Source organism: Homo sapiens, chromosome 13, assembly GCF_000001405.40.
Source record: "Homo sapiens chromosome 13, GRCh38.p14 Primary Assembly".
Lineage (NCBI taxonomy): Eukaryota > Metazoa > Chordata > Mammalia > Primates > Hominidae > Homo > Homo sapiens.
The window spans coordinates 114337616-114352140 of NC_000013.11; the positions used below are offsets into that span (position 1 = coordinate 114337616).

At 40.1% G+C, this 14525-nt stretch overlaps 1 long non-coding RNA gene and 1 pseudogene across 1 annotated transcript; both read left to right on the forward strand.

Moving 5' to 3' along the window:
• The first annotated feature begins 731 nt into the window (after nt 1-731).
• On the forward strand, nt 732-13952 carry LOC112268113 (uncharacterized). The gene is made up of 3 exons (XR_007063890.1): nt 732-1382; nt 5306-5431; nt 8552-13952. It is a non-coding gene; the product is annotated as an uncharacterized LOC112268113 (long non-coding RNA).
• Nucleotides 8541-9071, forward strand: RPL23AP97 (ribosomal protein L23a pseudogene 97; annotated as a pseudogene).
• Nucleotides 13953-14525: the final 573 nt, after the last annotated feature.

Genomic DNA, 14525 nt, shown 5'->3' on the forward strand with positions numbered 1-14525 from the left:
GTGTTCACTGAGTAAGTGATACTGACATGGCATATGGCATACAAGCATCCTGAGAGTAGGATCATGGGGCATTCAATGGTGATTGTCCCTAGAGCTGGTTAGGGCCCAGCTTTCCACTGTCCTTGTACTGCTGCGTGTACAATCGGTGTCTTCTTTAACTTCACAGAGATGCCACAAGGCAAATAGCATTGTCTTCACTTTCTGTGTAAGAAAACTAAGGCTCGGTGAGAGTATGCAGAGCTGGTTCATGGATTTGTTTGGGTCCTTCTAGTTTCAAAACCCGTGAATATTTTCCTGTCTCTAATGCTAATCTTAGCAATATATTTGGAATAAGCATATAAACATATAACCACAGTCCACTCAGGTAATAGGCAACTAAATTATAAATAAATGCTCAACGAGATTATGAGTGATTGAATGAGCTATATACAAGAATAATAACTGGTGGAAGTGTTATTCATAGGATAAAGTAGAAATCATTTAAATGGCTAATAGTATAAGGAGGGTTAAATCAAGCAGGTGTGGAAATAGCTGATTTACATATATAGTTTATGCCATGTAAAACGTTTATAATCTAATATTGGATGAAAAACAGATACAATATTTTATGTACAGTATAATCTAAAATTTCTATGTTTAGTTAAAAATGCAGGAATATAATTATCAAAATTTGAGTGATAAAATTATGAATAATTTTTTTCTTTGATAACTCATTTTATATTTACCAAAGATCCTCCAAAGAGATTATACACTTTTTTTAACTAGAAAAAAGTTATTTGTTAAAGAGATCATAAATGACATAATATTTTACAGAAGTTAAGAGCTGAGATTGTGAGAATTTCCAGGGACTCCTGCCATCAGCCCACCTCGCATCATTGTTTACATGGAAATGTTGGGACTGAGGTGACCTCATGCCTCTCAATTCCCAGCCAGCCTTCTCTCCCTCTGGCTCTTAGCTAGCCTGTTAAACAGAAAATAATCAGTGAGACGAATAAACTACACCCTAGTGTTCTAACAAGTTACACATAATTGCTTGCTTACCAATTGTCTACCTCAGAACTTTCTTTTCCTCATAGAGTCAACATAATCATCTATTTTAAATTCGGCTTTTGCCATTTTACAGTCCAAGATGCTGGACTTTGCATAGGGCATGGATGGGTTTCCACAGTCCACACGAGGATGGGAGGAGAACAGGGCAGATCCAGCCCCACTCAGTGAGAGTTCTGGCTGGAGTTAGTTGGCTGGACTTCACTCCAGAGAGAGACCTTCCTCTGTACCAGCTACCAAGACAGCCCCTAGTTGGAAAATCTTTTCTTCTAAGGTGAGATGCAGCCCCCACTGGAGAGAAAAACACCAGAGAGTTTTAAAAAGGAAAAACCAAGGTAAGCTGAGGGGCTTCTTGACAGGGGACACAGCAGAGTCCACCCAGCTGGGGTGAATCTCCGCAGTTCCCCAACAGGACAGCGGGTGGGAGCCCCAAGTCACTGGCCCCTGCAGTGTTGGAGCAGCGTGAGCCACCTGTAGTCACATTGTCTCCTCTGGCAGCAGCCTCCATCCAGAAATGCATCTCAGGGTCTGTCGTCACAGGAACCTGATGCCAGAGCAGTGCGCTCAAAGTATTTGGCCACAGGTATTTTGTGGAACTGAGCATTTTCCACATCTTGCTGGAGGTCATTGTGTGTGAACTTGATGGAGCTCTTTCTCCTGGGCTTTTTTTCTAAGTGTGGGAGAGCATGGCCTGCATGACTGCTGGCTTCCAGCACGTGTCGTGCAAACCCATGCCAGGGTGTGTAATTCACTGTAGCCCTTGACAGAATAGCAGGGGATAAAGCTCATTTTTTAATCTTCTGTTTATTACCCTCAGCCAATTAACTTCTATCTACAGTAGAAGATATTTTGCCAATTTTTTTTCAAAATGGAGAAGTACCGTGCTCTTTAAAAAGTCTTTTAGAGGCACAGACTTCTCAATTTCATTACATTAAAATCACTAAAAGATAGAAAAAAGTGAAATTCACGTATCAAAGAAATTTTCTTTTAGCAAACCACTCTATTTTGTTTTGAAATGTTTGTGAATTTTCCATGCATGTGTCCAGATACATAAGGAGTTTATTCATTCAATTAAGTTAAAACATTGGATAACATGGTAAATTCAAAAAGTAGTGAGGACACGTTTTGTTTCTCTCTGTAACTGAGAAAACTGACTGATGCCTCCTGTGTGCGAGCACTGTGTAGCTGATGCAGATGTGGAAACCAAGGTTTTCTTACTTGCTGCCGCTGGCCCTGGCACTGGATGTTGGCTCCTGGAGGGCAGGGTGTCTGTTTTTATTACCACTCAGCAAGTGCCACACAAATACACATGGGTGTCTCTGCCCTCTAGTGGATCCTGGCAGGCACTGGGCGCAAATGTGACTATAAAAAAAATGAAAGATTTAAAAAATGCCCATTACCTCTAGAGGGGATTTAATTATAACACGAGGCTTTTTTTTTTCTTTTTCAAATGGGCTGATGGGTAAAAATAATGCAAGACTGGAGATGCGTTTGCCTTTCGGCATCTATGATGACTGAGTCTTTCCTCAGTGCTGCCACAGGGAGCACATTCACACATATGTCACACAAATACCAGGGTTAGGTCAAAAAACCAAGTGTTACCTGGAGGAAGCCACAGAGGCTATGAGATGAAGCCTTCACCTAGAAGACACCCGACAGTTCAGAAACCGAGATCCTGTGAGGTGTCTTGGAGAGCTCAGCTGTGACCCCGCACCGTATGAAAGGGTGGGCATTGGGGTTCAGGCAGGTGAAGAGAATTGTCCACTGTTGAGCATCATCAGCCTAAAACCCACATGCAGTGCTACTGCTGCAAAACCACTGACTGTTGAAGCCACAAACCGCAGAAACAGAAGCCCTTTATGGTCCTCACTGTGCAACTGGTGACTTTTCAGAAGATGAAGATTAAACATATTAATCATAAATTCAAAGTATCAGAAGAAATACTAGGAGATTTTCTAACCTCTGCTGCCATGACTTTTTTTTTTTTTGCAAGATTCGTGAATTATTGTAAATAAGCTCACAGAGGCCACAGTGCTCCCCTCAAGTCATCCAGAAAGATGCAGGCTGCTAATCCCCACATCTGACACATCTGTGTTTTCTTATGATAATACACAAATTAAAGATAGGGGAGAGAGAGAGGGACAGAAAGAGAGAGACAGAGAGAATTGGAGCTAAGAGGAAACACTTTCCTTTTTATTTTTATTTATTTTTAATTTATTTATTTTTAAGAGGAAACACTTTCATGTTTTGCCCCCCAAAATTCCCAGTGAACATTCCCATTGCCAGTGGGTGAAATCCAAGGCCCTGGCTCCAGGATCCTGCTCTTTCCTGTGGTGACTCCTGTGCAGATTTGGCCTAGAAACACTATGGAAGTTGTTACACTTCTCTGGACAAGTCATTATACTCGTGCTTTTGGCTCACAGGCTGCACTTCCCCGGACAACCCTTCGCCCTAAGCTCCAAGTAATTCAGCTTCATCCTTCAGAGAAGAGCTCAGGTGTCACTTCCTGTAAGGTCCCTCCCTAGCCGCCTCTCCAGCAGAAGGGCCCCCACCTTGCTCTTTGCACCTCTGTCCCTCGAGGTGGTGCTGTCCTCTTTGGAGGGTGGGACCCCGGGAACTAGAGCCCCTCTCATGCTGGTGACACTCGGCACTCTGTAAGTGTGTGCTGAGCGGATACAAGTGCGGCGAGCTTGCACAGCCTTACAATGTGTACTCTCATGTCTGGCATAGAGACCCATTTTCATTCTTTGTAAAATGAGTAAGTGGGGCTGGGTGACCCATACTCTCTTTTCAACTCAGAAGTCCACTATGAGCCTGACGTCAGATAGCTTCCCAGCCAGTGCCAGAGCAGGACCCAGGTTTTTCAATGTGTCTGTGTCCCCACAGCACGGGGAAAGCACGGAGGAATGGGACCAGCTCTGCTTCCTGCTGCCCAGTGTCAGCCAGCAACTCCAGGCTCACAAAGCCAAGGCAAAGGCACCTGCAGGAGATCTTGGTTATTTAGTAGCTGTGATTGGGCTGGGAGGAGAGTGTGTTCACTTCTGATTTTCCAGTGAATAGCATGAGACAGTAAGGTTTGAAATGTGTTTTTTTTCTCTTGCCAAAAACGAAAACAAAAAAGGCTTTTTACCTTCTCATCCTTGGAGCCACTGGCATTAGCTATGGGCCTGATAGTTTAAGAAAACTTGAAAATGAACTAGGTGAACCAGTATTCTCCAAATTAATATTTTGATAAATTGTGGAGTTCTGTATTGCAGCAAAGCTGTTGCTTAAGTGGGCAAAACTCTAGAGGATAGGAAAACACACTCTTGAAATCAGGTGGTGATGCCCTGAAATTCAGCAAACTGCAGGGGCACGTGTTGTTCTACCCCAGGTCAGAGTGTGTCAGTCATCACTTGATGCCACTCACAGACCACCAACTTCAGAATATCTAGGTGTAAAGCTCTGTACAAAAGTCGTAACATAATAATGTAAATAATTTTACCTTAATAATATTATTTATATTACACCATTACATAATGTAAGGCTATTAAAACATGTTTGTCTTCAAAGAATGGCCTTGGTTTCTGTGGGCAGTGTCTCCTTATGGAAAGGTAGTGCATTCCTGCTAAGTCCTGGACAAAACGGGCCTCCAGGAGCTCCAGGCTGCAGCAGCAGCTTCTCATCTATGTCCTTCACTGCATGATGTCGTTGTTGACTTTGAAAGCTCCTTTCAGTCTAGTTTTATCAACAGAGCTAGTTTTTCATGAGGATCTACTACATACCAGGTTCCAGAAGGCTAAATGCCTTTTATTTGTTATTATTCACTAAATACAAATAACAGCTCTCTTCTCATTACTCACACAACAAAATTTAGCTGAGGATGGCTCTAGGAGATGCAGAAGGGGCTGCATCATAAAGAATGAAGAAGGGATTTGTCATGAGAGATGGGACAGGAAATTCTCTAGAGGCAGAGGGAGAGCATGAGAATGTTGGGAAGGGAGGAGAGATTCTCACACATCTGGGAAGCTGACAATCCATGGGCTTCCCATCTGTGTAGTTTGCCTTCTCCAGTGTCTCATTAAATGAGGTCACACTGTGTGTATTCTCAGACTGTTTTCTTCCACTTAGCAATGTGCATGCAAGATTCACTCATGTCTTTGTGTGAGTTGATAGCTTGTTCCTTTCTATGGCTAAATAGTATTCCATTATATGAATGTACCACAATTTGGTTATGCATTTTGGGGAGCAAAACCTTCCTCTTCTAACTTTGTTCCAGGATTGGAGACCTTCAAATTAACTGACAATAGATACATTAGTAGAAGAGACAATACTTGGCTTCTTGTTCCACAAGTATCATTGCGGGACAAAATTCAGCAGATGGCAGGATCCAGTTTACAAAGAGGTAAAAATAGCCCAGAAACAAGAAACAAGACTAGAATCAGATAACTCACAATGGCTATAGTTTTCCTTTAAAAAAATTTTTTTTGAGACAGGGTCTGGCTCTGTCACCCAGGCTGGAGTGCAAGGTGCAATCTCAGCTCACTGCAACCTCTACCTCCTGGGTGCAAACGATCCTCCCTCCTCAGCCTCCTGATTAGCTGGGACTACAGGCACATGCCACCATGCCCATCTAATTTTTGTACTTTTGGTAGAGACGGGGTTTCACCACGTTGCCCAGGCTGGTCTTGAACTCCTGGCCTCCCAAAGTGCTGGAATTATAGGTGTGTGCTGCCATGACCAGCCATGTTATAGTTTTCCATTGAAACATAAAATTTCTCTCTGTAGTAACCATCATTTTTGATCATAATCAAAGTAAGACTATTCTTGTTTCAAAAATAAGTCTAGTTTTATTAGATTTTGCTTGATTATTTACGTAAGTGCATCAAGAACAGGAGATGACCACGTAGGTGCTTTCAAGCTTCTTTGCTGGAAGTTTTCATACAGAATCTCAGATTTGACTTTTAAAGGCCTTATTCAGGCTAAAAGCCAAGCTAAGAACTTACTATCATATTTCAGCTGCAGTCCTTATAGCTTTGTGTGAATTCCTCTCTTCTTGAGGCCCCCAAATATCCCTAAATTCCTGGGCCTACCAGGAAATGACCTTCCTTACTAACCTGTAAGGCTGTGAACCCTGTAATCTAGGTATCAGGCTGGCTTTTCTCAGAGTGCTGTTGGGAATGAAGTTTTTGGTGTTCCAAAATAAAAAAGAATTAATGTGGGAACAAATGATCTCTTAGCAAGGCAAGCTTTACTTTCTGCAGAAAGGGTGCTACTCAATAGCTGTCCAGCCACAAGAGCACACCAAACAAAGGAGACAGAGTTACTTATAATCTGATGTGTCTACCCTAGTGCTGTGTCCAGTTTCCATTGGCTGGAATAGGACCTCACATTTTACACTTTACCCGATTGGCTGTTAGTTTAAAACTTTCTTAATTAGGTAAGGGGAATAGAAGAAAGAAAGAAAAGGAAGTTGCCCAGGGATAGTTAAGGAAGGATCTCCAAATAAGGAATGGCATGCACTATGGGCTGGGGCTTGTCTAGTTCTGTCCAGGCATGCTGGAGCAAGCTAGGACAAGTGATTTGGAATACACACACACACACACACACACACACATAAATAGTGGATAGCAATCTTATAGTAAGAAATTGTGACTTTATAATCTTTGAAGAAGAACTTTCCCATTTCTCACAGTGCTTTGTAAGCATTGTTTCCATAAAAGTCAACCTTACTTCCTTAAAATTGCTGGTCATAAATGATCTTAGGTACACTTCCTAAATATGATATTCCAGTAAAAACCTTGATAATATAACCAAAATTTCCAATTATGTCCGTTATAAGGTGAACAGATTCTTATTGGACTTTTGCTAACAACTATATCATCGTGAAAATATGAGTATTCAGTAAGGATTTCAAAATTCTGGAAAAATCAGGCAGGGAAAAAAAGATAAATGCCTCATTTCTATTTATAAAAGTATAATCTACTAAATTGTTGTAAGTTACAGTTAGATTAAGAGAAAGAGATTTCTTAAATCCAGAAACTAGAACATTAAAGAACCAGTAATGCTCCAAAAAGCTATAAAGTTACAATCAATTTTCATCAGTTCATTCAGTGCCATGTAATCAATTCCAGTCTTTTTGGATCTTGGGTTAGCAGTGTCATGAACCCATCAGTTTCTCAACCAGACTTCTGGAGACCTTCACTGAGTCAAGTGTATGGTCTTAAAGTTATTTAAGCAATATCATCAGAAGCCTATAACCAGAGTACCTGTCATAGTCTTTTCCGTGAGTCTCAGAGGGAGTCCTGTGTTGGAGACGAACATTCTGACTTGTAGCTGATTGCAGGAGCTTTCAGGAAAGCATCAGGGGAAATAATATCTAAATGACAAAGAGTATGAAATGGCTGTGATGAAAGATCTGATGAGAGTTCATTATACCACAGCTGACAAGGATATTCAATTTTCTGTGTGGCATACAACATTTATTTACTTATTTAGAGACAGAGTCTCACTCTGTCGCCCAGGCTTGGGTGCAGTGGCGTGATCTTGGCTCACTGCAAGCTCCATCTCCCGGGTTCACGCCATTCTCCTGCCTCAGCCTCCCGAGTACCTGGGGCTACAGGCACCTGCCACCACGCCTGGCTAATTTTTTGTATTTTTAGTACAGACGGGGATTCACCAGGTTAGCCAGGATGGTCTGGATGTCCTGACCTTGTGATCCACCCGCCTCAGCCTCCCAAAGTGCTGGGATTACAGGCGTGAGCCACTGCGCCTGGCACAACATTTAAAATAATAATTGGAATTATGACTCATTACTCTATACTGGCACATAGCATGGATAAGGAAGACATTGACAAATTTCCAGGAATTTTATATAATTTCTGAAAACATAACATTGTACCCATACAAATATAATACAGGGATGGTTAGGTATCTCTTTTTATTTGTATCTTAAGTATGGTTTTCCTTATAAAAAATACATCCTACTTTACTTGCAAAACATGCCCTACTTTTCTTGCATGCTTTGCGTAGAGTTGTTTCTAGTTATTCTATTATTTCTAGTAGTTTTCTTTACATATATTGATTATAATTTTAACACTTAGTAATCTTTTATTTTACAGAGAAAACTAGGAAGTAGAGAGTTATAAACTGTCATATATTACCATTCTATAGTAGGTTAGAAAATGTATGAATATACCATCTCCCAACATCTAGAGGGATGTGTTTCCTCATAGTACAATTTCTCAGTGTGGCAGAAAAAAAGACGTTTATTAATGGGCCAAAATATCTTTAGTCTCTCTGTAAAAGTAGCAAGGCAAAATTATATAAACTTGAATCATTTATGCTCAGTAATAAATGTTTTAGTATTGTATCTTATTTATAAATGGTCTAGATATTTAATGCAAATCTTTTACTTAGCTTAACTTTAAGGTTAAAAATTACCAAAAGTACTTTGGAAACTATTCTTAGGCAGATTTACTGTAAACAAATTATTTTTGAAATAATGTTTTTCGCTTTTCACAAGATGGCATCGAAAGTGAAGAAGGAAGCTCCTGCCCGTCCTAAAGCTGAAGCCAAAGCGAAGGTTTTGAAGGTCAAGAAGGCAGTGTTGAAAGGTGTCCATAACCACATGCAAAAAGAAGATCCGCATGTCACCCACCTTCAGGCGGCCCAAGACACTGCGACTCCAGAGGCAGCCCAGATATCCTCAGAAGAGCACCCCCAGGAGAAACAAGCTTGGCCACTATGCTATCATCAAGTTTCCGCTGACCGCTGAGTCGGCCGTGAAGAAGACAGAAGAAAACAACACGCTTGTGTTCACTGTGGATGTTAAAGCCAAGAAGCACCAGATCAGACAGGCTGTGAAGAAGCTCTATGACAGTGATGTGGCCAAGGTCACCACCCTGATTTGTCCTGATAAAGAGAAGAAGGCATATGTTCGACTGGCTCCTGATTATGATGCTTTGGATGTTGCAACAAAATTGGGATCATCTAAACTGAGTCCAGCTGGCTAACTCTAAATATATGTGTATCTTTTCACCATAAAAAAATGATGTTTTTCATAAGAATGACAAATTAATTAGAACCAAATCTATAAGCTTTAAGATTTTACGTTTTTAGTAAGTATAATATTAGCTTATTTGACTAGAACTCAAGCAGAATAGGAATTTATGTTTGTTTTATATTCAATAGTGATAATTTTGAAGACAGTTGTTTTATTACACCAAAAATATTATATTAATCTTATTTAACTAAGTTTTATCCAAATCGTGTTAACTTAAAAAACATTTGATCAGTTCCTATATTTCTAGGAGTTTGGTGAATATTTACTTATAAATGCTTATTTTTTTCCAAGCCAAGTTAGAATAGAGCACTTTTAGAGGATTTCATAAATGAATTTTGCAATGCTATCCGGAGTTAAGAAAATATCACATATATGTTACATACATTAATAGATATACAAACACAAATAGAGATTTCATAGCTTTCATCCTGAAATTTCAGCCATGAATCAGGCATAAATATTCTGATGGTTAATTTTAGACATCTACTTGACTGGACTAAGAGACACACATAGCTGGTCAAACACAATTTCAGCCATGAATCAGGCATAAATATTCTGATGGTTAAGTTTAGACATCTACTTGATTGGATTAAGAGACACACATAGCTGGTCAAACACAATTTCTGGGCATATCTGTGAGGGTGTTTCTGGAAGACACTGAGATAACCATGACCCAGTGTAGATGGGAACTGATATGGTTTGCCTGTTTCCCCACCCAGATCTCATCTTGAATTGTAGTTCCTATAATCCCTAAATGTCGTGGGAGGGACCCGGTGGGAGGTGATTGAATCATGGTGGTGGTTACTGCCATGCTGTTCTCATGACAGTGAGTGAGTTCTCACGATCTCATGGTTTTATAAGGGGCTTTTCCCCTTTGGCTCAGCACTTCTCCTTGTTGCTGCCTTGTGAAGAGGGATAGATTTGCTTCCCCTTCTGCCATGATTGTGAGGCCCCTGCAGCCATGTGGAACTGTCAGCCCATTAAACCTCTTTGTTCTTTATAAATTGCTCAGACTCAGGTATTTCTTCATAGCTGTATAAAAATGGATGAATACAGGCACCATCCAATTGGTTGAGAGCCCAGATAGAACAAAAAGGAAGAGGAAAGGTGAATTATCTCCTTCTGAAACGGAAACATCCTTCTTCTCCTGCCCTTGACATCAGAACTTCGGGGTCTCAGACCTTTGGCCTCACAATCAGAGTTACACCATTGGCTTCCCTGATTCTGAGTCCTTTATATCTGGAGTGAGCCATGCTGCCAGCTTTCCTGGTTCTCGAACTTGGAGACAGGCTATTGTGTAACTTCTCAGCCTCCATAATTATGTGAACCAATTCCCCTAATGAGTCTTCTCTCATCTATCTATCTACATATATCCTATTGATTCTGCCTTTCTGGAGAACCCTGACTAATGTTATTACAATAATACTAAATTCACTAGTTTATGTAGAAGACTTGGTTTTTGTCTTTGCCCAATTTTATATTTGTATTATAACTGTGTATCTGGAAAATGGAACAAGTTTTTATCTTCTTCATATGAGCGCCAAAGCTTTTGTCTCACCAATATTTTTGGAGATTTTTAAGATTTTCTTTTGTTTGGACATACAATCTTATGGAGGATGAGAAATATTTTTTTTTCTATTTTATTTTTCAGCCCCAGGTGTTTGCTTTTGCAGATTCTTGAGCACATTGAGAGCATGGAGAGCACTCCAAGGCATGGAGTGGGGTGCCTAAAGTTTCAGTGATTACAGGGAGTTGAGATACTCAACTGGGAAAGGAAAAGTCTAAAAGGAGGCAATTTGGAAGATAAAAATTTTCTCAAAAGAGCGATTAAATTTCTAAATAATTCTTAGTAAAATCATGCAAACAGGAAAGGAAGTAGAATTAGTTCCATATTGTTGGAACACATAGTCAGCAGAGGTTTGAGAAGGGAGAATTTAGTCAACTGAGAAGTTCCCATGAAAGGAGCAAGTTCAAGATCACAGAGACACCTTGAAACAAAAAGCCAGGAATAACTTCCGACCCAAGAAGAGAACAGAGAGGCCTCAAAACCAAAGCTAGGATAAGAAACTTGTAGCCCAAGAGTTATCTTCCAGACAAAGAAGCCTGAGATTCCAACGCAGCTTCAGAGAGTGCTCACTCAAAATGTTACTGAAACTGTAGGCTTTTTAATGACTTAGCCATGCCTGCAAAAGGCATTCCCTAAGGTGGCACAGAAGACGGAGCCCCCATATCCAAAGATAGCCAAGGAGAAAGAAAGACCCCTGTTGCCAGAGCCAGTGGGCAAAGGCAACAGAAAAGGAGACAAGGGTCCTAATGGGATGAGATCCTTTCGGATTTAGGCTTTTATACAAACTCCTGAGAACTGGCAGGTTGACAGCCATAAATGGGGTACCAAACTTTCTACTCATTGGATTACAAGTTCTCAGGCATCCAGAATGATGAACAAAATGACAATTTCTAGGGCTTCTGTGGGAGAGTATGGAAAGATCTTTTTGAACCTTTTAATGCTATCAGTGGAAGAACGATGAGGTTCATAAATTTGGAAAGGAGACATTTCTTCATTTTTATGTTTATTTTTATTTTTATTTTTTGAGACAGAGTTTCACTCTTGTTGCCCAGGCTGGAGTGCAATGGTGTGATCTTGGTTCACTGCAACCTCCACCTCCTGGGTTCAAGCGATTCTCCTGCCTCAGCCTCCTGATTAGCTGGGATTACAGATACCCACCACCACACCTGGATAATTTTTTTTTGTATTTTTAGTAGAGACAGGGTGTCATCATGTTGGCCAGGCTGGTCTGAAACTCCTGACCTCAGGTGATCCACCTGCCTTGGCCTCCCAAAGTGCTGGGTTTACAGGCATGAGCCACCACACCCAATGAGAGATTTATTTCTTATAAAGGGTTGCAGCCTGAAGGGTTGTCCTTCTGACAGGCTGGGAAGCACAGCCTCCAGCCAGAAGCCAGAAACAGATGCTTCAAGGAGGAGGTAAAGGAAATAGTAATTTATGCTGATTGGAATGGCCAAATGCATTTATTTAATAAGCTCTAGGAGGAGTCATGAATATTTATGGAAGGAGAAATGCATGCATGTGCAATTGAGTTTCTTGCTTCTTCATGGGTCCCATGTACAAAAAATGGCAGTGTTATCATGATCCCAGGGTGGAGTTTTCAGCTATCTGACATTAAAAGGTGAAGCAGAGGACATGAAAACTCGCTCTGTGCATCCTCTGTACACTGGCCAGAACCTCTCCATTGTGGGTGGTCTCTTATCAGGCAAGAAAGGAGAGGTTGATATCAGTGGTAGAGCCTTTGAAAGGGCTGGTTTCTGTTAAATCCTTAGGGAAGAAAGCCTCATCAAGGTTAGCAAAGGAAGGGGTATAACGATGTGTATCTGACCTCCATCATCCCATCCTAGCAAAGCTGAGAACTCAGTTTTGAAAGTTACTCTGGGGTCCCCTCAGCCAAGAGTGGGTCTGTTCAGTCAGTTGGGAGCTTAGGATTTTATTTTCATTTATCAATGCTAATGGGAAAGAGTACGCTGTGTCTATGGCAGCTGAATTTGCAAGAAACTCCTTGGATGGGGTTAATGGCAGTTGTATTTTTCTGGGAGTTCTGCTTTAATTGGATAAAGTAAGTTCTGGTAAGATTTCTTCCTTTATCTTCAGTATCTCAAGTGTTTTCACTTAAATAATCTTTATAACAACTTTTGATGTCTGAGTGGAGTCCCACACAGTCGTCTATTGTAAGACTTTCTGATTCCTTTTTTTTCCTTTAGTCATTCTGAATAGGGCTTCTGTAAATAATTGCATGGTAGCTTTTGTTTGGAAATAACATCAAAGTAGTTGTCAAAATACTTAGGAATGTGATTTTTGGATTGTAAGGTGAGACTTGTTTAGCTTTAGAAAAAACTGCCGAAATTTTAATGGGGAGGAAAAAAATTTTCTATGTTTTTGGAATTCTTAGATGGGACCCGCTGTAAAAACTGACAGATTAAAATGAGAAAAACAGAAAAGTTTAAAAACATGTATACCTTATGGATACATGGGAGATACTCAAGGAAAAATGAGTAAATCTCCAACAGGTGGCTTTCAATTAAAGCATAAATACTATCTTCAACTTAAAGAAAGAAGATTTGAGGTGCAGTGGTGAGTGGGGAGTTAGCCAGCAAAAGCACATTAGACAAGGGTAAGGTTCGTTATACAGACTTAAGTCCATGCATTCTCCATTGATAAGAGTCTTTAGTGATTTAGTTATCCTTCTTGGTGTCGAGAGAGGTAGCTTTTAAATGGTGATTTCCTTTATAGATGTAAATTTTCCTTACACAAGTGTAACTTCTACTCTGTTTTCACAACTTCCTTTGTTAGCATTTTTTTTTTCAAAATAATTAGCTTGGAATAATTGTTAAGCCAAAGGGACATATTTTGGGGTTTCATATTCTGGTTTCCTACCATTATATTTTGGGGTGGCATATTTTGGTCTTATACACTGTGTTCCACCGGCAATGAAAAGAGTTCTTGTTTTTCCTCCAGCAATTTGTCATTTGTTAAAGAGTTTAGCAGTTCTAAGAGATACAGACCAGCTGTGCTATCTTTTTGTGGTTTTCAGTTCTCTAGTATGTTGAGCATCTTTTTGTAAGTGTACTTGCCATCTGTAGATCTTCTTTGGTGAGGTGTCTGTTTAGATCTGTGTGTTTTTAATTGGGCTGTTTAACTTATTGTTTAGTTTTAACACTTTTTTATATATTTTGAATACAAATTCTCAGATCTGTATTTTGCAAATATTTTCTTCAATATGTGGCTTGTCTTTTTGTTCTCTTAACAAGGTCTCTTCCAGAGTATAAACTGTAAATATTAAGAAATCCACATTGTCATTTCTTCTGTGTATATCAACCTTCTGTGTCATTTGTTAAAATTCATTGCCAAACGCAAAGGCACATAGCTTTTCCTCTATAGTTTCTTCTAGAAATTGTATAGTTTTGCATTTTTAATCTAAGGATGATTTTGAGTGATTATTTGTGTAAGTTGTAAAGTTTTCATCTACATGCATATCATTTCTTATGGTTTCCAATTAATCATTCCCTCACTATTTTTGGGAAAGACACAGGATAGTGGGCTCTGTTAGAGTAGATAGCTAGACATGAACAGGAGGGGGAGCTCCTGGAAAAGGGAAAGTCTGTGAAGGCTCACGTGGAGGGACCACCAAAAATGCATATATTAGTAGCATCTCTAGTGCTGGAGTGGATGGGCACTTGTCAATTGTGGTTAGGAGGGAGAAGAGGTACCTACGCAGAAACACCCTAGAACTTCTCTTGAGATGCCCCAATCATCATTCACTCTGCAATAAAAATGTCAGAATATTGCTAGCTACATGCTGATAAGAAGGAGAAAGGGGACATTCTTAAGAGAAACCTGGCACCATAAGTACAGATTAGGGCA